The sequence below is a fragment of the Homo sapiens genome, chromosome X (genome assembly GCF_000001405.40).
Source record: "Homo sapiens chromosome X, GRCh38.p14 Primary Assembly".
NCBI lineage: Eukaryota > Metazoa > Chordata > Mammalia > Primates > Hominidae > Homo > Homo sapiens.
The window spans coordinates 74,041,290-74,064,276 of NC_000023.11; the positions used below are offsets into that span (position 1 = coordinate 74,041,290).

Genomic DNA, 22,987 nt, shown 5'->3' on the forward strand with positions numbered 1-22,987 from the left:
CCATTCTAACTGGCGTGAGAAGGTATCTCATTGTGGTTTTGATTTGCATTTCCCTAATGACAAGTGATGATGAGCTTTTTTTCATGTTTGTTGGCTGTGTAAATGTCTTCTTTTGAGAAGTGCCTGTTCATATCCTTTGCCCACTTTTTGATGGGCTTGTTCCTTTTTTTCTTGTAAATTTGTTTAAGTTCTTTGTGGATCCTGGATATTAGCCCTTTGTCAGATGGATAGATTGCAAAAATTTTCTCCCATTCTGTGGGTTGCCTGTTCACTCTGATGATAGTTTCTTTTGCTGTGCAGAAGCTCTTTAGTTTAATTAGATCCTATTTGTCAATTTTGGCTTTTGTTGCTTTAGTCCTGAAGTCTTTGCCCATGCCTATGTCCTGAATGGTATTGCCTAGGTTTTCTTCTAGGGATTTTAGGGTTTTAGGTCTTCCGTTTCAGTCTTTAATCCATATTGAGTTAATTTTTGTATAAGGTGTAAGGAAAGGGTCCAGTTTCAGTTTTCTGCATATGGCTAGCCAGCTTTCCCAACACCATTTATGAAATATGGAATCCTTTCCCCATTGCTTGTTTTTGTCAAGTTTGTCAAAGATCAGATGGTTGTAGATGTGTGGTTATTTCTGAGGCCTCTTTTCTGTTCCATTGGTCTATATCTCTGTTTTGGTACCAGTACCATGCTGTTTTGGTTACTGTAGACTTGCAGTATAGTTTAAAGTCAGGAAGTGTGATGTCTCCAGCTTTATTCTTTTTTTTTAGGATTGTCTTGGCTATATGGGCTCTTTTCTGCTGCCATATGAAATTTAAAGTAATTTTTTCTAATTCTGTGAAGAAAGTACATGGTAGCTTGATGGGGATAACATTGAATCTATAAATTACTTTGGTCAGTATGGCCATTTTCACAATATTGATTCTTCTTATCCAGGAGCATGGAATGTTTTTCCATTTATTTGTGTCCTCTCTTATTTCCTTGAGCAGTGGTTTGTAGTTCTCTTTGAAGATGTCCTTCACCTCCCTGGTAAGTTGTATTCCTAGGTATGTTATTCTTTTTGTAGCAACTGTGAATGGGAGTTCACTCATGATTTGGCTCTCTGCTTGTCTGTTATTGGTTTGTAGGAATGATTGTGATTTTTGCACATTGATTATGTATCCTGAGACTTCGCTGAAGTTGCTTATCAGCTTAAGGAGATTTTGGGCTGATACAATGGGGTTTTCTAAATATACAGTCATGTCATCTGCAGAGAGAATGTGACGTCCTTTCTTCCTATTTGAATATCATTTATTTCTTTCTCTTGCCTTATTTCCCTGGCCAGAACTTCCAGTACTATGTTGAATTGGAGTTGTGAGAGAGGGCATCCTTTTCTTGTGCTGGTTTTCAAAGGGTATGCTTCCAGTTTTTGCTCATTCAGTAAGATATTGGCTGTTGGTTTGTCATAAATAGCTCTTATTATTTTGAGATAGGGTCCACCAATACCTAATTTATTGAGAGTTTTTAGCATGAAGCGGTGTTGAATTTTGTTGAAGGCCTTTTCTGCATCTATTGAGGTAATCATGTGGTCTTTGTCATTGCTTCTGTTTATGTGATGCATTATGCTTATTGATTTGCCTATGTTGAACCAGACTTGCATCCCAGGGATAAAGCTGACTTGATCATGGTAGATAAGCTTTTTGATGTGCTGCTGTATTCGGTTTGCCAGTATTTTATTGAGGATTTTCGCATTGATGTTCATCAGGGATATTGGCCTGAAATTTTCTTTTTTTGTTGTGTCTCTGCCAGGTTTTGGTATCAGGAAGATGCTGGCCTCATAAAATGAGTTAGGGAGGAGTCTCTCTTTTTCTATTGTTTGGAATAGTTTCAGAAGGAATGGCACCAGCTTCTCTTTGTACCTCTGGTAGAATTCGGCTGTGAATCCGTCTGTTCCTGGACTTTTTATGGTTGGTAGGCTATTACTGCCTGAATTTCAAAACTTGTTATTGGTCTATTCAGGGATTCGACTTCTTCCTGGTTTAGACTTGGGAGGGTGCATGTGTCCAGGAATTTATCCATTTCTACTGGATTTTCTAGTTTATTTGCATAGAGGTGTTTATAGTATTATCTGATAGTAACTTGTATTCCTGTGGGATCAGCGGTGATATCATTTTATCACTTTTTATTGCATCTATTTGATTCTTCTCTCTTATCTTGTTTATTAGTTTGGCTAGCAGTCTATTTATTTTGTTGATCTTTTCAAAACAACAGCTCCTGGATTCACTGATTTTTTTGAAGTTTTTTCCTGTCTCTATCTCCTTCAGTTCTGCTCTGATTTTAGTTATTTCTTGTCTTCTGGTAGCTGTTGAATTTGTTTGCTCTTGCTTCTCTAGTTTTTTAAATTGTAATTTTAGGGTGTCAATTTTAGATCTTTCCTGCTTTCTCTTGTTGGCATTTAGTGCTATAAATTTCCCTCTTAACACTGCTTTAGCTGTGTCCCAGAGATTCTGGTACGTTGTGTCTTTGTTCTCATTGGTTTCTAAGAATATCTTTATTTTTCTGCCTTAATTTCATTACTCACCCAGTAGTCATTCAGGAGCAGTTTGTTCAGTTTCCATGTAGTTTTGTGGTTTTGAGTGAGTTTCTTAATCCTGAGTTCTAATTTGATTGCACTGTGGTCTGAGAGACTGTTATGATTTGCATTCTTTTGTATTTGCTGAGGAGTGTTTTACTTCCAGTTATGTGGTCAATTTTAGAATAAGTGCCATGTGGTGCTGAGAAAAATGTATATTCTGTTGATTTTTGGTTGAGGGTTCTGTAGATGTCTATCAGTTCTGCTTGGTCCAGAGCTGAGTTCAAGTCCTGAATATTCTTGTTAATTTTCTGTCTCGTTGATCTGTCTAATATTGACAGTGGGGTGTGAAAGTCTCTCACTATTGTGTGGGAATCTAAGTCTCTTTGTAGGTCTCTAGGAATTTGCTTTATGAATCTGGGTGCTCCTGTATTGAGTGCATATATATTTAGGAGTTACCTCTTCCTGCTGCATTGATCCCTTTACCATTATGTAATGCCCTTTTTTGTCTTTTTTGATCTTTGTTGGCTTAAAGTCTTTTTTATCAGGGACTGGGATTGCAACCCCTGCCTTTTTTTTTTTTTTTTGCTTTCCATTTGCTTGGTAAATATTCCTCCATCCCTTTATTTTGAGCCTATGTGCATCTTTGCATGAGATGGGTCTCCTGAATACAGCACACCGATGGGTCTTGACTGTTTATCCAATTTGCCAGTCTGTGTCTTTTAATTGGGGTATTTAGCCTGTTTATATTTAAGGTTATTATTGTGTGTGAATTTGATCCTCTCATTATGATGCTAGCTGGTTATTTTGCACATTAGTTGACGCAGTTTCTTCATAGTGTCGATGGCCTTTAGAATTTGGTATGTTTTTGCAGTGGCTGGTACCCGTTGTTCCTTTTTATGTGTAGTGCTTTTTTCAGGAGTTCTTGTAAGGCAGTCCTGGTGGTGACAAAATCTCAGAATTTGCTTCTCTAAATGATTTTATTTCTTCACTTATGAAGCTTAGTTTGGCTGGATATGAAATTCTGAGTTGAAAATTCTTTTTTTACAGAATGTTGAATATTGGCCCCCACTCTCTTCTAGCTTGTAGAGTTTCTGCAGAGAGATTTGCTGTTAGTCTGATGGGCTTCCCTTTGTGGGTAAGTCAAACTTTCTCTCTGGCTGCCCTTAACATTTTTTCCTTCATTTCAACCTTGCTGAATCTGACAATTATGTGTCTTGGAGTTGCCCTTCTCAAAGAGTATCTTTGCGGTGTCCTGTGTATTTCCCCAATTTGAATGTTGGTCTGTCTTGCTAGGTTGGGGGAATTCTCCTGGATAATATCCTGAAGAGTGTTTTCCAAATTGGTTCCATTCTCCACGTCACTTTTAGGGACCCCAATCAATCATAGATTTGGGCTTTTCACATAGTCCCATATTTCTTGGAGGCTTTGTTCGTGCCTTTTCATTCTTTTTTTCTCTAATCTTGTCTTCTCACTTTATTTCATTAAGTTGACCTTCAATCTCTGATATCCTTTCTACTGCTTGAAACAGAATCTGTCTGCAGAAACTCTACAATCAATTCATCTATTGACACCTGTGTATGCTTCATGAAGTTTTCGTGCTGTGTTTTTTTAGCTCCATCAGGTCATTTATGTTCTTCTCTAAACTGGTTATTCTAGTTAGCAATTCCTCTAACCTTTTCTCAAAGTTCTTAGTTTAATTGCATTGTGTTAGAACATGCTCCTTTAGCTTAGAGGAGTTTATTACCCACGTTCTGAAGCCTACTTCTGTCAGTTTGTTAAACTCATTCTCCATCCAGTTTTGTTCCCTTGCTGGCGAGGAGTTGTGATCCTTTGGAGGAGAAGAGGTGTTCTGGTTTTTGGAATTTTCAGCCTTTTGCACTGGTTTTTCCTCATCATCATGGATTTATCTACCTTTGGTCTTTGATGTTGGTGACCTTCGGATGGGGTTTTTGTATGGAAGTCCTTTTTGTTGATGTTGATGCTATTCCTTTCTGTTTGTTAGTTTTCCTTCTAACAGTCATGCCACTCAGCTGCAGGTCTGCTGCAGTTTGCTGGAGGTCCACTCCAGACCCTATTTGCCTGGGTATCACCAGTGGAAGCTGCAGAACCACAAAGATTGCTGCCTGTTTCTTCCTTTGGAAGCTTCATCCCAGAGGGGCACCTGCCAGATGCCAGCTGGAGCTCTCTTGTATGAGGTGTCTGTTAACCCCTGCTGGGAGGTGTCTCCTAGTCAGGAGGCACAGGGGTCAGGGACCCACTTGAGGAGGCCATCTTTCCCTTAGCAGAGCTCGAGCACTGTGCTGGGAGATTTTCTGCTATTTTCAGAGCTGGTAGGTGGGAACGTTTAAGTCTGCTGAAGCTGCACCCACAGATGCCCCTTTCCCCTGGTGCTCTGTCCCAGGGAGTTGGGAGTTTTTTCTATAAACCCCTGACTGGGGCTGCTGCCTTTCTTTCAGAGATGCCCTGCTCAGAGAGGAGGAATCTAGAGAGGCAGTCTGGCTACAGTTTTTGCCGAGCTGTGGTGGGCTCTGCCCAGTTCGAACTTCCTGGCAGCTTTGTTTACACTGACAGCGGAAAACTGCCTAACCAAGCCTCAGTATCAGCAGACGCCTCTACCCCCACGAAGCTGGGGTGGGATCCACTGAGCTACACCACTTGGCTCCCTGGCTTCAGCCCCCTTTCTAGGGGGAGTCAACAGTTCTGTCTCGCTGGTGTTCCAGGCGCCACTGGGGTATGAAAAGAAACTGCAGCTATCTCGGTGTCTGCCCAAACAGCCACCAAATTTTGTGCTTGAAGCCCAGGGCCCTGGTAGCATAGGCACCTGAGGGAATCTCCTGATCTGTGGGTTGCAAAGAGCGTGGGAAAAGCATAGTATCTGGGCTGGACTGCACCATTTTTCATGGCACAGTCCCTCACAGCTTCCCTTGGCTAGGGAAGGGAGTTCCTTGACCCCTTGCGTTTCCTGGGTGAGGCAACACTCCACCCTGCTCAGCTGGCCCTTCGTGAGCTGCACCCACTGTCTAACCAATTCCGATGAGATGAGCTGGGTACCTCAGTTGGAAATGCAGAAATCACCTTCCTTCTGTGATGAGCTCGCTGGGATCTTCAGACCACAGCTGTTATTATTCAGCCATCTTGCCTGCCACCCCCTTAAGCTTTTTATTATTTTCCCATTTCTCAGGTTGTCCACTGAATTTTTTATCTTGTTTCTTGCAGCAATAAAGAGCCACAATGTTGAATTTACCTAATTGTTTGCCACCAACTAATTGTTTTTGACAATTAGTTAGGTGAGAAGCATTTTTGTAGCGATCCAAATTAAGTCAGGTGACTCTGGGGACAGCAAAACTGCCAGTTTACCATGCTGTGATACTGAGTGTTGGGGGATGGGGTGGTGAATGGGAACAGTTGTAAATTAAAATGCCAAGGGCCAGGCCGGGCGCGGTGGCTCATGCCTGTAATCCCAGCACTTTGGGAGGCTGAGGTGGGCGGATCACAAGGTCAGGAGATCGCGACCACCCTCCCCAACATGGTGAAACCCTGTCTCTACTAAAAATACAAAAATTAGCTGGGCGTGGTGGCACCTGCCTGTAATCCCAGCTACTTGGGAGGCTGAGGCAGGAGAATCGCTTGAACCAGGGAGCCGGGGGCTGCAGTGAGCTGAGATCACGCCACTGTACCACAGCCTGGCCACAGAGCAAGACTCTGTCTTGGGCCAGGTGCAGTGGCTCACGCCTGTAATCCCAGCACTTTGGGAGGCCAAGGCGGGAGGATCACGAGGTCAGGAGATCAAGACCATACTGACTAACATGGTGAAAACCTGTCTCTACTAAAAATACAAAACTTAGCCAGGCGTGGTGGCGGGCACCTGTAATCCTAGCTACTCAGGAGGCTGAGGCAGGAGAATCACTTGAACCTGGGAGGCAGAGGTTGCAGTGAGCCGAGATTGCGCCACTGCACTCCAGCCTGGGCGACAGAGCTAGACCCCATCTCAAAAAAAAAAAAAAAATACAAAAGTTAGCCAAGTGTGGTAGCACACACCTGTAGTCCCAGCTACTTGGGGGGCTGAGATGAGAGGATCACCTGAGCCTAGATGTCAAGGCGACGGCGAGCCATGATTGCGCCACTGCACTCCAACCTGGGTGACAGAGTAAGACTCTGTCTCAAACCAAAAATAAAAAGAAAATTTGAGAAAAATAATTCTTGAGGCCTATTTAATCACTTCCTAGAAAAAATTATTGACATCACTCCCAGAGTCCCAGGAGAGCAACACTAAATGCAACTTAGTTAAAAATTTTTCTGTCATAGCCATATACACTATATTCTAAATACACACACATAAGCACATTAGATACATATTCACACACAATAGGTAGAAACACATACAGAGGAAAAAAAATATATATATATATATATCCTATGTCTTTCCTAGACAGCCCTTTCTGACTAAAAAAGTATACTTTTGTGCCAATCAGAGAAAATTTCAGTCACCTAAAAACCTCATAAATGGAGAAAATCTGTTCATAGTAAAACAGCAGTCTGAAGCTCTGTGGGGTAATTATGGCCTCCAGGGCTCTACCAAGTAAAGAAAGCTGTGGCTGTAGCTTTCATACTTGGGAGGCTGAGGCAGGAGAATGGCATGAACCTGGGAGGTGGAGCTTGCAGTGAGTCGAGATGGTGCCACTGCACTCCAGCCTGGATGACAGAGCGAGACTCTGTCTCAAAAAAAAAGAAAAGAAAAGAAAATACTCTGTCTCAAAAATAAATAAATAAATAAATAAAATAAGCAAGACTTACAGTGAAAAAACCATACAGATTGGAAAGGAAGGAAAAATACTGTCTCTATTCACAGATGACATGACTATTTATGTAAAATATTCCCAAAGAATATACAAAAATTTCTATTAAAATTAATGAATTTAGCAAGATTGCAGGATTAAAGGCCAATGTACAAAAATTAGTTGTAAAGGAGGCCAGGCTCTCTCACAAAATCTAATGATACGTGCCACATCCAAGGTTCTGAAGAGCAAACAGACCACAGGTTTACCTCCACTACATCTCATCAGAACAACGCTTGCTGGCATGGGAAGCCAGCCCAGCCACCCCACCCCTGCCTGAGCTCTTGGGCTACTAGCAGCTCTGCATTTCCCTGGGACAGAGCTCCCAGAGGTAAAAGACAGGCCCCTCATTTTTGCCACATTGCAGCTCCCACCCCTACTGCCCTTAGGCTTGGCAGAGAGCAAAATGCTTAAAGACTATTGCAGGCCTCCAGCACAACATAGCTTCCTTACAGAAAAGAAGCCATATGGTTTTCCACATGGGCCCCTGCCTCTGCTACTTGTCACTGGTCAGGATCTCCCAATCTGGGACCCCAGCACAGCCACCCTGGCCCCACCTGAACTCTATCCCAGCATTTCCCTGGGATTGAGCTCCTAGAGGTAAAGGACAGGCCTGCCATTTTTGCTGCTTTGCAGCTCTTACCCCTACTGCCCTCAGGCATAACAGGAAGTAAAGAGCTTAAGAATGATCATGGGCCTCCAGCACAGCACAATTGCCTTATGGAAAGGTAACCAGGCTGCTTTCCATATGAGTCCCTGCCCCTGCCATTCCTCACTGGTCAGGGTGTCTTGACCTGGGCCCCCAGTAAAGCTGCCCTGCCCCTGCCTGAACACTTGTTGGTGGTGGCTGTCTGTTTCTTTGAGGAGAAAATCCCAGAGTCAACCCACAGCCCCTCTACCATTGCAGCTACAGCAGTACCGCCCTTCCTGTCCTCAAGCTGGGAAAGAAACAAAGGACCTGTTCACTTCACTGGCACCTCCAGTATGCTGCAGCTGCCATATGGCGAGGGGTCAAATTTCTCTTCCCTGTGAGCCCCCACCACCTACTTTTCACCAGGAGGGCCCCCCAGCAAGGGACTGCAATGCAACCACTCCACCCTTGGCTGAACATTTCCATTGGCAGTGGCTCTGCATTTCTCTGGGGTGCAACTCCCAGAGGCAACTGAAAGCCCCTCTGCTACTGCCACAGCAGTGGTACTGCCCTTGCTGCCCTTGGATTGGGGAAGGTGTCAAGACCCTGAGGGTTCTACTCATACCTACACCACAATATAGCTGCCCTATGAAGAAGAAGCCAGTCTGTCTTCCACTCAAGCCACACACCCACTGTGTTCATCACCAGGCATGGCCCCCTGGCTTGGACCTGCAACACAGCTGCCCCACACCTGGCTGATTGATCCAGTCAGCAGTGAGTCTGCATTTCTCTGGGTTGGCACCTCAAGAAACAAGTGAACATTTTTCTGCCATTGTCATTGTCAAGGCCCCACCACTGCTGCCCCCAAATGGAAAGGAAACAGAAAGCCTGAGCATGCCCCGTGGCTGTGGTGTGCAGCCTGATGGTGCCAAGGTGAGATCTGAAGCCAGCAATGAAGTGGGATAGGAGCCAACACTCTCAGAGCACTTAGAAGAAGCATGGCTGCAACTGTGAAGGAATACAGGGGAGCTGTGTGGCTGAGCAAGAGCCTACCTACTACCCATCACACTTAAGCACCATCTACAAGGTCGCAGCCCAAACTTCAACACCAAAAATTCTTTCCTAATATATCCGCCCTGCAAAATCAAGGTGAAAAATTCAGTCACAAATAAAGACCCTGAACAAAGCCTTGACTCTCTGAAAACATATAAAAATGTCATCAACTGACTATACCCAAGTTATCCCACATTTATAGAAGCGTAAGCCCTCACAGATGAGGAAGAACCAGCCCAAGAACCTTTGAAACTCTAAAAGCCAGAGTGTCTCCTTACCACCAAATGACTGCACTAGTTTCCCAGCAATAGTACGTAACTAGGCTTAAATGGCTGAAATGACAGACATAAAATTCAGAATCTGGATGGCAATAAAGACCATCAAAATTTGGAGAAAGTTGAAACCCATTCTAAGGAATCTAAGGAATACAGTAAAATAATTCAATACATGAAAGACAAAATAGACATTTTATGAAATGAACCGTACTGACCTGATTGATAGAGCTGAAAAACTTACTACAAAAATTTCATGACACAATGGGGAGAATTAACTGCAGAATAGATCAAGCTGAGGACTCTCAGAGCTCAAAGACCGGTTCTTCAAATTAACTGAGTCAGGCAAAAATAAGAAAAAAAAACTTAAAAAATGAACAAAATCTCCAAGAAATATGGAATTATGTATAGAGACCAAACCTATGACTCTTTGGCATCTCTAAAAGAGAGGGAGAGAGAGCAAGCAAATGGGAAAACATATTTGAGGATATCATCCATGAAAAGTTTCCCAACCTTGCTAGAGAGGTCAACATTCAAATTCAAGAAATTCAGGTGGCCTCTGCAATATACTATACAAGACAACCATCCCCGACACATAGTGATCAAACTCACCAAGGTCAATGCCAAAGAATAAATATTAAAGGCAACTAGAGAGAAGGGGCAGGTCACCTAAAAAGGGAACCTCATCAGGCTAACAGTGAACATTTCAGCAGAAATCCTACATTCTAGAAGAGATTGGGGACCTATATTGAGCATCCTTCAAGAAAAGAAATCCGGGCCGGGCATGGTGGCTCAAGCCTGTAATCCCAGCACTTTGGGAGGCCGAGGTGGGCAGATCACGAGGTCAGGAGATCGAGACCAGCCTGGCTAACACAGTGAAACCCCGTCTCTACTAAAAAAATACAAAAAAATTAGCTGGGCATGGTGGCAGGCGCCTGTAGTCCCAGCTACTCGGGAGGCTGAGGCAGGAGAATGGTGTGAACCCAGGAGGCAGAGGTTGCAGTGAGCCAAGATCAGGCCACTGCACTCCAGCCTGGGCGACAGAGCAAGACTCCGTCTCAAAAAAAAAAAAAAAAAGAAAAGAAAAGAAATCCAACTAAGAATTTCATATCCAGCCAAACTAAGCTTTTTAAGCAAAGGAGAAATAAAATCCTTCCCAGCCAAGCAAACGCTAAGGGAATTTGTGATCAACAGGCCTGCCTTACAAAAGGTCCTTAATGTAGTGCTAAACATAGAAAGAAAAGACCATTACTAACCACCACCAAAACACACTCAAGTGCATAGACCATCAACACTATAAACCAAATACACAATCAAGTCTACCTAACAGCCAGCTAACAACATAATGACAGGATCGAATCTACACATTATCAATATTGACCTTGAACATAAATGGGTTAAACATCCGCACTTAAAAGGCACAGAGTGGAAAGTTAGATAAAGAAGCAAGACCCAACTGTATGCTGTATTCAAGATACCCATCTTACACAAAAGGATATTTATAGGCTGAAAGTAAGGGGATGAGAAAGGTCTATCAGGCAAATGGAAAACAAAAAAGGGCAGAGGTTGCTGTTCTTATATCAGGCAAAACTGACATTAAATGAACAATGATCAAAAAGGACAAAGAAGGGCATTACATAATTATAAAAAGTTCAATTCAACAAGAAGATGTAACTAAATATATATGCACCCAACACTGCAGCATCCAGATTGATTAAACAAGTTCTTAGAGACTTACAAAGAGACTTAGATAACCACTTAATAATAGTGGGATACTTCAACACCCCATTGACAATAGTGGACAGATCATCAAGGGACAATACTAACAAGGATATTCCAGACCTAAATTTGATGCTTGATCAAATGGACCTAACAGACATCTACAGAACACTGCACCCAACAAAATTAGAATATACATTCTTTTCATCTGTACATGGCACATACTCTAAAATTGACCACTTGCTCAGCCATAAGGCAATTGCTAAGAAATTTTTTTAAAAAGCCGAAATCATATCAACCATACTGTTAGACCACAGTGCAATAAAAATAGAAATCAAAACCAAGAAGTTCTTTCAAACCATACAATTACATGGAAATTAAGCAGTATGCTCCTGAATGACTTTTGGGTAAACAATGAAATGAAGGCAGGAATCAAGACATTTTTGAAGCTAATGACAACAAAGATACAACATACCATAATCTCTGGGACCAAGCTAAAGCAGTGTTAAGAGGAAAGTTTATAGTGCTAAACACCCACATCAAAAGGTTAGAAAGATCTCAAAATAACAACCTAACATCACACCTAGAGGAACTAGAAAAATAAAAACAAACCAATCCCAAAGCTAGAAGAAGACATGGAATAACCAAAATCAGAGCTGAGCTGAATGAAATAGAGATGAGAAAAACCACACACACAAAAAATCAATGAACTAAACCTTGGTTCTTTAAAAGACTAAATAAGATTGGTAGACTACTAGCTAAACTAATAAAGAAAAAAAGATGATAAAGATAAATGAAAAACGGGACATTACCACTGACTCCACAGAAATACAAAAATCCCTCAGAGATTATTACAACACCTCTCCACATATGAACTAGAAAACCTAGAAGAAATGGATAAATTCTCAGACACATACAACATCCCAACATTGAACGAGGAAGAAATTGAAATCATGACCAGACAAATAATGAGTTCTGAAATTGAATCAGAAATAAAAAGTCTACCAACCAGAAGATGCCCTAGACCAGACTGATTCACAGGTGAATTCTTCCAGATGTATAAATAAGAGCTGGTGCTGATCTTACTGAAAATATTTCAAAAAATTGAGGAGAAGGGACTCCTCCTTAACATATTCCATGAGACTAGTATCATTCTGATACCAAAAGTTGGCAGAGAACAGTGAAAAAAAAATTCATACCAATACCCCTGATGAACACAGATGCAAAATCTATTAACAAAATGCAAACAAACCAAATCCAGCAGCACATCAAAAAGCTAATCCACTATGCTCAAGTCAAATCTATTCCTGCAATGCAAGATTGGTTCAACATATGCAAGTCAATAATTGTGATTTGTCACATAAACAACTAACAACAAAAACCACATGATCATCTCAAAAGATGCAGAAAAGCGTTTTGATAAAATTCAACATCACTTCATGTTAAAAACCTTCAACAAACTATGCATCAAAAGTACATACCTCAAAATAATAAGAGCCATCTCTATGATAAACCCACAGCCAACATCATACTAAATGGGCAAAAGCTGGAAGCATTCCCATTGAGAACCAGAACAAGATAAGGATGCCCACTCTCACCACTCCTATTTAACATAATACTGGAAGTCCTAGCCAGAGCGATCAGGCAAAAGAAAGAAATAAAAGGCATCCAAATGGGAAGTGAGAAAGTAAAACTATCTCCCTTCACAGATGATATGATACCATACCTGCAAAACCCCATAGTCTCTGCCCAAAGCCTCCCAGATATGATAAGCAATTTCAGCAAAGTTTCAGGATACAAAATCAATGTGCAAAAATCAGTAGTGCTTTAGACACCCATAATGTCTAAGCTGAGAGCCAAATCTAGAATGCAATCCTGCTCACAATCTCCACAAAAATAAAATACCTAGGAAGACAGCTAAAAAGGGAGGCAAAAAATCTCTACAAGAATTACCAAACAGTACTGAAGGAAATCAAAGACACAAAAACATGGAAAAACATTCCATGCTCACAGATAGGAAAAAATCAATGTTGTTAAAATGTTCATACTGCATAAAGCAATTTACAGATTCAATACTATTCATATCAAACTACCAATGATATTTATCAAAGAATTATAAAAATACATTCTAAAATTCATTTGGAACCAAAAATGAGCTCAACTAGCAAAACCAATTCTACTCTGATTTGTATGGGTGTCGATCTCTGTGTTTATCTTCCTTGCAGTTCGTTGATCCTATTAGATGTATGTAGACGAATGTTTTCACCGAATTTGGGAGGATTTCAGCCATTATTTAAATTAAATAGTTTTTCTGCTCATTTTCTTCTTTCTGGTAGTTCCATTATGTATACGTTAGTGCACTTAATGGTGGCCCATCTTTCTTTGAGTTTCTTTTCATTTTTGTTTATGTTTTTCACTCTGCTCTGCAGATTGCATAATCTCTATTAATCTATTTCCAAGTTCACTGATTCTTTCTTCTGGCAAATCAAATCTACTCTTGAGTTGCTCTTGCTCCTCACCCACTGTTGGAACATACATATCTTGAAGAACTCCCCATTTCCCAATGGCCCTCTGAGGCATGCTGCCCTCTTCTCTCAAATATCTGTAAGTAATAAAAACTGCTTCTTATTTCATATATCCTTTTTTTTTGTGCTGCCTCTTCTGTGTCTCACCTGACCATCACACCTGAATCTAATTCTCCTCCTAGTTAGAGCTTTCCTAGAGAGTGGCTATCTTGGTAGGAATAAACTGGACACAGATCAGAGAAGAGCCACAAGGGCATCTTCCAGTATAAACATGTTTCTTATCAGAAGGACACCTGATCATGGTCAAGTGGGTTGGACACTTAGGCATTAGGCTGTCCTCCAGGATAAAGAGGTATCCCATAAAAGGTACATTGTAAACATCCAGGACAACCTCCCCTGGAGTCTTGTCAGCGCAGAGCAAGGATTTGTGGCCACTCTCCAGAGAGAGACCCCAAGACCAAATTTTATATATATATGTGTGTGTGTGTGTGTGTGTGTGTGTGTATGTGTGTGTATATATATATACGTGTATATATATAGCAATTGATGCATCAAGCAGAGTGGTCATGACCATGAGGGATACAACAAAATGCCTTTAGACTGCTTTTGGCCTGTTAGCTGGCCCTCTCACCTGGCTAACACCATTTGAGAAGGCTCCATGGCTTGCTGATGTGTGTCTGTGCTGCTGCATCCTACTGCTTATTGTCTTTATTAAGTACCGCCAAAACTCCCCTCCCTAAATTGAGTGCGTCCTAGAAAGTTGGAGTTCTCTCCAAGAACCAACAATCACCTGCCTTAGTACAGCAAGAGAGGCAACCATGATCGCTATCACTCTCCTGAATGGGAACTACTAGTCACAGTTAAGTTGACTGTATTCTGAAGGCCTTGCCCAGATTCGAATGGCTTATTACTGAGAGGTTAAAGGGAGTAACCTGTGCTAAGGGGCTGTCAGGAAGATACTGGGCCAGTGTAAGCCTTAGCAGATGGCAAGAGGAAGATATACTCTGACTACCCACTGAATTGGTGAGGCAGTATCTGGGGCTAGACTTTCCAGTATGACAAGAGGGGTGCCTACTTCACTGGGGAGATGACAGCATCTCACTGGCAGCAGTGGCACTGTGATCTACAATCGATATGTTTCTGTCTTCTCTTCCTTCTGTCACTCTTGATCCCCTTACCCTATGTGTTACCCTATTGGTTTAACCCCATTGTGTGTGATGACAAAGAACTTAATGATTCAAATTAAAAGGCCAGAACATTTCTTTGCCAACTCTCCCATGATCTCTGAGGAGGTTAGCAAACTATTAAAGAAATAGGGCTTGGGGCCTTGCCAAGTGATCCTGCCACTGTTGCACTAGTGGAGGCTGATCCAAATCCAGATGATGTTGATCGGGATGCCTTGGAGAGCAAGGCAGCTACCTACAACAGGACCAATGAAAACCACAAATGGAGGCCACTGGTCACAACAGGAGCCACTTGGAACCACCAGGAGCTTGTTAGGCAAACATCCAAAAAGAGAGAGAAAAGAGAATGTTTTTAGTCACCTAGAAATACAAGCCATTCTAAAGATTTTACTTAAAAGAAAAGAATGGTGGAGGCTCATTGTCCTGTTGTGGGAGGTTGTCCCAGGGAAAGGGACCTGGAGACACCAGGTCCCTTCCTCCTCCCTGTATTCCTCTAATAAACCAGATACAGAAACTATGAACCACAGTGTCAGGAGGCTAAAAACCTAAAACAAAACAAAACACAATAAGGAAAAAATACTGCTGCTTTCAGTGGCTTCAAGTTGAAGGAAAAAAACAAAGAGGAACTTCAACTTTAAGAATTGAGGAAAATCAGCTCTAGCAAGCAAAATACTAGCCCTAGATTACTTATCGATTTATAAATAAACCCCTAATAAAAGGGGATAAAAGATACATAATAAATTATATATACATATATTTTGATATCAATGTATGATAAATTGTGTATATGTGTATATATGATATGTAACTAAAAGCAAAATTCCACACCTTGATTCAATTAAAAATTCAAAATTTATATAACAAAAAGGTTTAGGCAAGGCATGGTGGCTTACACCTGTAATCCCAGCACATTGGGAGGCCAAGGTGGGAGGATTGAAGCCAGCCTGAGCAACATAAGCAAGATCTCATCTCTACAAAAAATTTAAAAATTAGCTGGGAGTGGTGGCCCGTGCCTGTAGTCCCAGCTATTTGGGAGGCTGACACGGGAGGATTGCTTGAGTCCAGGAGTCTGAGGCTGCAGTGAGTTAGGATCATGCCACTGCACTCCAGCCTGGGTAACAGAGTGAGACCCTGTCTAAAAAAAAAAATGTTTAAAAAGGGTGCTGATTGGTTTTTGTGCCTCTACAACATAGATTATAACTTAACTTTAACAACTGGTAGAATGGACCAAAATTGAAAAAAATCTATGGATTTAATCAATACTAGGGCTCAAATTATACCTGGGCACCTCAATAAATTTAAACATTGTGCCCCCTATATTCTTAAAATGGTAACTAAATATAATAGAGAAAAATAGATATGCCTTAATTTGTTGCCTTGCCTAAATTTCTCATAGTCATAGTACCCAATGCTGTAACATATACCATATTGGAATTAAATGCTCTGACACAACAAATAATGAATTAAAGTCAAAGCAAATCTTTGGCTGTTAAAAACTGGCTTGATGGAATGGGATTCCATGAACACCCAGTTAAAAGACTTCATATGGCCCAATGTAAGCTAAAATGAGGGCTGCAAAGCTTAAAACTTATTACATGAAACCCAACTAATAAAGAAGTGATTATTCTCAATGCTTCTCCATTTAGCAGACCATTTTGACATTTGATTGCTCTTAAATCTGAAATAAATAAATTTAAAAAGGGGTTCTCAAGATGGCTTACTACCACCTTAATGATGTGGTCCCAATCATCAAGGCTCCCTACCCAATATGTGAAATTATTAATATTAATGATTCTATTCTGTCAACAATCAGTAAATATTTTGTTCTTATAGATTGGCTAATATGTTCTGTTTAATGCCTGTTTCAACAGTCTCTCAGCTGCAGTTTGCTTCCACCTCCGAAAGGGACACAATACACCTTTTCTAGGTTACTGATGGGGTACCACAATAGCTTTTTTTTTTTTTTTTTTTGAGACAGGGTCTCACTCTGTTGCCCAGGCTGGAGTGTGATGGTGCGATCTCAGCTCACTGCAACCTCCGCTTCCTGCGTTGAAGCGATTCTCATGTCTCAGCCTCTGAGTAGCCGGGATTACAGGTGTGTGCCACCACACCCAGCTAATTTTTGTATTTTTAGTAGAGATGGGGTTTCACCATGTTGGCCAGGCTGGTCTCGAACCCCTGACCTCAGATGATCCACCCGTCTTGGCCTCCCAAAATGCTGGGATTACAGGCGTGAGCCACCGCGCCCAGCCCACAATAGCTTTTTTATCACATGCAATCTTTGGAGATAAGACCCTGATGGCATGTATCTTTCTCCAGGAATAAAGGTCTGATATTACATGAATGACATCCTCTTTCAAGGAGATTCATGTGACACACTCACTAAGTACATATAAGTCCAGTATGTTTTTTACTTATAAATTAAAATTGACCATCACTCCTATTAGTGCTTTCAAAAAACCTCATTCACGACAACTTTTTCACGCCTTCTGGAGTCTGTGGATCACTCCTGATGGCCATTAGTTGCTCCAGGGCTTCTAATGCAACATATTGCCCCTCTTGGCCTTGTGCTATGCACCATTAAAACAACAAATACCTGCCTACATACTGGGCACATTTGGAAATAGAAGATCTCATAGACCTTGAGCCTGTGACCCTCCATACCCAGCTGCTCATTATGCTTTGGGTCATGGAAGCAGCACGCCACAAGCTCAGCCTGGCTATGAAGGAAGACCTCGTTAAAACAGGGTGGAGCCAAACTTGGGTGGAGCCCATCTTAGGATAGGGCCCAAGAAACAACACACTTAGCCAAACCTCAGGCAGTCATCTTAGCATTGGATGCCCTGATCAACAAATGGTCCTGACCAGGAATAGCTCACACCTGTAATCCAAGTGCTTTGGGGGACAGAGGTGAAAGGATCACTTGAGGCCAAGAATTCAAGAGAAGTCTGGGCAACATAGTGAGACCCTGTCTCTACAAAAATAATAAAAATAAAAAAAATTAGCCAGGCATGGTGCTGCATACCAGTAGTCCTAGCTACTCAGGAGACTGAGACAGAGATCACTTGAGCCCAGGAGTTCGAGGTTACAATGAGCTATGATCATGCCATTGTACTCCAGCCTGGGCAACAGAGGGAGACTCTGTCTCAAAAAAAAAAAAAATTAAAAACAGAATTACTATATGATCCAGTAATTCCACTTCTCAGTATATATTCCAAGGAAGTGAAGGCAGGGACTCAAGCAGATATTTGCACACCCATGTTCATAGCAGCATTATTCACAATACACAAAAGATGGTGGCAACCCAGTGTACATTAATTGATTAATAAATAAACAAGATGTTGTATATAAATACAATGGAATATTATTCAGCCTTAAAGAGGGAGAAAATTTTGACACATGGATGAAACTTGAGGACATTAGGCTAAGTGAAATATATCAATAATAAAAAGATAAATACTGTATACAGTTATATGAGGTACCTAGAGTAAATTCATAGAAACAAAAAGTAGAGGGGTGGTTTCTAGAGGCTGAAAGGAGGGAGAAATGGGAGTCTTGTTTAATGAGTATAGTGTTTCAATTTTGCAAAAGATTGGTTGTACCACAATGAAAATGTACTTACAACTACTGAACTGGAAACTTAAAAATGGTTTTAAGATAGTAAGTTTTATATTATGTATATTTTACCACAATTTAAAAAACCTAATTAATAAAGAGGTGATTATCTCCACTGCTTCTTGATTTGATAGCCAAATTTTCTTGTTCTTAACAAGAAAATTAAAAATATATTTATTTGGCATAGATACATAGATACAAAAATACACCTGATGGCATCTCAGGATGGATTATTACAACCTGTGGTCTCATCCATTAAGGCCCCCATACGAAATACCCAATATTACGAAAATTACTGACTCTATCCAATCAACAACTGATAAATATTTTGCTATTACGTATTTGGCTAATATGTTCTGTTCAGTGCCTATTTCAACAGCATCTCACCACAGTTTGCCTTCATCTCCAAAGGAACACAATACTCTTCTTCAGGCTACCCATGGGGTACCTAAACAGCTTTGCCATTGCACACAATCTTTGCAGATGAGAGCCTAACTACTTTCACCTTTTACCAGGATCACAGGTATAACATCATCCTCCAAGGAGATTCATTTGATACATTCATTTAGAATCTACAAGTCCAACATCTTTTAATCCTTTTTGAGTTCTGATGGCAACGCATTCCTCATTTACAAATAGAAATAGGCTGCTCCACAAGGGAAGTGTCTGAGTTAGTTTTGTAGGATCTTTCTACAGGGAAGGGTTACATCAGGGCATGTATAGGAGAGGTTTTTCTAGTGTTTGTGCAGTGGCTCAACATGCTTCTTCATACATTGTATGTAGCATTAGCATTTTAAATCACCCTTGGGCATGATTTTTCGCATTAAAAATGAGGAAGAGTTAACTATAGGTTGGAATTTAAGTATATCTGCACATGCAGGTACTCCAGGGAAGTCTCTAGCCCCCTGAAACAGAAACTTGCGATAATTATTTCTTGGGTCTTTTGTTACTGACTGGTTGAGGGTCACATAAGCTAGATCTTGAGTGAGAGGTTTTTATCCTTTTTCTCCAGACCATATTAAAACAGGAAACCAACCAGCCTGCCTGTCTCAAGAAGGAAGGTACCAGGCTCTTTTTAACAACGAGCTCTGGTGGGAAATAATCGAACAAGAACTTACTCACACCCAAGGGAGATAACCCACACACCACCCACTAAGCCTCACCTCTAACATTGAGGATCAAATTTCACCATGCGATTAGGATGGGACAAACTTCCGAACTATAGCAGTCTCATATATAATGTGTTTTTAAGTACATGGAGGTTACATATATACGAAATCTAGGAGAGGTTACTACTATCTGTACCTCTCTAAAAATTAATGGAGATCATTATTTTCCCCAGAAGGACCTGTCACGTATCAGTCAACTCCTTGACTCCCTAGAGAGGGGACCACTCACTCTACTGTGCCCTCTCCTTCTCCACCTCCAGCGTTACATCCTGCCCTTCTTCTCCAATCACTACCACAGCAATCACCCTTTCCCCTTGGTCACACAAAAATACCACTAATATCTACATATACTTTACTAACTTATCAGTTCGTAACCTGCCTGCAGCAACATAACTGTTTGACTCTTCACTTTGACTCAAGAAATACACCAAGATATTACTGTTTATATATACGTATATATGTGTGTGTGTATCTATATCTGTCATACACACATTTATATGTGTATATGTGATATATATCCACATACGTATGTATATATAAATATATATATATCATACATATATATAAACTTTAACACACTTTACAACTCCAACAAGATATTGTTAGAGATCTCAGAAATTTCAGATCTACTTTTTTTGGTTAATGCCATATAAATGAGAAACTTAATCATGGTCCAGCCTATAAAGACTCTTATATTTAATACTTCTACTTGCATTCCTTTCTTTTGATTCCCATTATAAAATGTTTTCTAGGCCATTTGGGAAAACATATGTCCTAATGTATAGTCTCTATCATCATCCCAATATGTTTTTAATATGATATCAAAGTATCACAGGGCCAATTGTATTCAATTGTATTAACCATGTCTTTAATTTTCTATATTCTGATGCTTTGACATCTTGAGGCAGTGCTGACCTTGGAAGGATTGCTCCTCCCAGGATTAGCCAATTTCTAGAGACAGTAAACAACTGGATTATGAAAGTGTCTTTCATATGCAAACCAACCACTCCAGAGTCCATATCCTCCATCACCTCCTTTATTGGCTTCTCAGGCACAGGACCACTATTTACCTGCCCAAATCACCCCCGGGTCGGGTATCAGACAACTAGGAAAAGCCCCTAAGCTGTAGAGCCTGCTAAAATTATTCAAACTAGCTAATTCTAAACCTGCTTACTTTAACTTGCCTATTCCTTCCCTCAGAAACCACAATAAAGGCTCTCGCCCACATTCTTCCCTCACCCTCTGCCTCCTGACTGACACTGGTGCTTTCCTGGGTGAACCCTGACGGTGTGGCATGCCTCTTCTTGTGATCTGTGAGTATAACAGTCTTTTCAATGGCAGAGATTTCCTGATTTGTTGGTCTTACCTACTTAAATAATAATAAAAGCCATATTTTAAAACACTACCCCAAACAGACAAAAGCTCTGTGGGGTAATTTATTTGGGAACTGATCCCAAGAGTAGAAATGAAGTATATAGGAGTATTTTAAAAAGGAAGGAAAGCCAGTACAAGGAATAATTCCAAATTTTAGTTACCATGCAACTGATAACAGGTATATGATCTTGGGGACCTTCTGAGTTGCATTATGAAATATATCTCAGAACTGTCTAGTTGAAGGACATAAGAGGGAAGGATTTAGCCAACACCTCCCATTCCCTTATTAGTCAAGATAATCCCATGTAACCTAATTCTGCCACACATCCTATTTGCACATGTCTGACTGCCCACTGGTCTGTAATTTGCCCAGTGATTTGGCATCAGAGAAGCCCCTGTGCAAGAAGCAAGATATACACTGCACTGGGCCAGTGCAAGGCCTTGTCAGATTATGCTTGCATAGAACTGGTCACCACAGCAGTGACTCGATTAAGAGAAGACATGATTTGACATGCACACAAGCTGTACCCAAAGCACCTTACAGGTACTTGTTTTGCATTTTGTTAATATATCTCTTAAGCCTCTTTAACTCTCTAAGTTCCCCCTCGTTCTCTTATTTTTTTTATTCTTTGCAAATTATTTGTTGAAGAAATATAGTCAATTATTGTTTAGACTTTTCCAGAGTCTGGATTTTGCTGATTGAGTTTCAATGATGTCATTTAACATGTTCCCCTGGCTCTATGTTTCTTACAAAATATAAGCTAGGCAGGGTGACACACACCTGTAGTCCAAGCTACTCAGGATGCAAAGGCAAAAAAATTTCTTTAGACCAGGAGTTCAAGGCTGCAGTATGCTATGATCACACCTGTGAACAGTCACTGTGCTCCAGCCTGGGAAACACAATGAGACCCCACCCATAAAAAAAATTTAAAAGTACAGATGCTTTGTTTAACTTGAGGTACAGTTTGTATAGGAGGTCAAAATAAATGCTTCTCTCTTTACCTTTTTGAAAATCAGCTTTCCAAACAATTGTTCTCTATCATCTTCCAAAGGACATTTATTAATTTGCGAGGGCTGTCATAACAAAGTACCACAGACTGGGTAGCTTTAAACAACAGAAATTTATTTTCTCACAGTTATGGAGGCTAGAAGGCTGAAGTCAAGTTGTCAGCAGAGTTAGTTCCTCCTGAGGGGCCACCAGGGAAGAATTTTCAGGTTTAGAGATGGCCATCTTCACCCTGTGCCTTCACACTGTCTTCACTCTGTTCCTCAAAACTCTACCAGCACCTACATATTACTCAATTCAAAAGGCACTTCTATATTTTTAAAGCAGCACCCCACATTTCAGCACCAAAATCTTATATAAATGTCATCTAAATCAGATATGAGTGACTTGAGGTATGATTCAACCTGAGGCAAAATTCCTCTCCATCTGAAAACCTGTAAAACCAGACAGGTTATCTGCTTTAAAAATACAATAGTAGAACAGACATAGGATAGAAATTCCTATTTCAAGGAGAAAAAATGAGAAAAAAAAGGATCATGGATTGCAAGTAAATTCAAATCAGAACAGGGAAAATTCCATTAGATTTTAAGGCTCAAGAATAAATTTCTTTGGCTCAGTGTTCTGTCCTCTGAGCCCACCCAGGTGGTGGCCAAGCCTTCTCAGCTCTGGAAAGCAGCCCTACTCACCTCAGCCCTAGAAAACAGACCCACACCCTCTGGCACTCACAAGCAGATGCCTGGCTAGATGAAATCTGGAGGATATAGCCACATTCCCTAGGCCTATGCCTCTGGGCCCAAGGGAGAAGTAAGCCCTGCTGACCTCTGATCTACCTTTGGGTTATTCTTCTCTTTTCTTGAAGGATAAGACATGTTTACAGCTGGATAGCGCTATTGGCCCATTTTGTAGAATTCCAGAAGTCCAACAGCCTTCCTTCATTTTATCCCGTCTCTGTCCCCTTCAGTCCAAGCTAGCAGCATTTCTGCTGGTACAAAATTCTCAAAACCCTTTTGGGCCTCCTGTGCAATTCAAAGGGGGTACAAAATCAGATGAGAGTCGTTGAC

At 41.0% G+C, this 22,987-nt stretch overlaps 2 long non-coding RNA genes across 2 annotated transcripts in view; one reads left to right on the plus strand and one right to left on the minus strand.

The window, feature by feature from the left end:
* Window positions 1-22,987, plus strand: part of JPX (JPX transcript, XIST activator) — a 126,061-nt gene that overhangs the window by 96,966 nt on the left and 6,108 nt on the right. Inside the window, exon 4 of the long non-coding RNA NR_024582.1 lies at window positions 20,747-20,859. This is a non-coding gene — a long non-coding RNA (JPX transcript, XIST activator). The remainder of the gene's footprint in view (window positions 1-20,746; window positions 20,860-22,987) is intronic.
* The window catches only part of FTX (FTX transcript, XIST regulator), a 265,439-nt gene that overhangs the window by 13,154 nt on the left and 229,298 nt on the right, over window positions 1-22,987 (minus strand). The gene's annotated exons all lie outside the window — the stretch shown is intronic.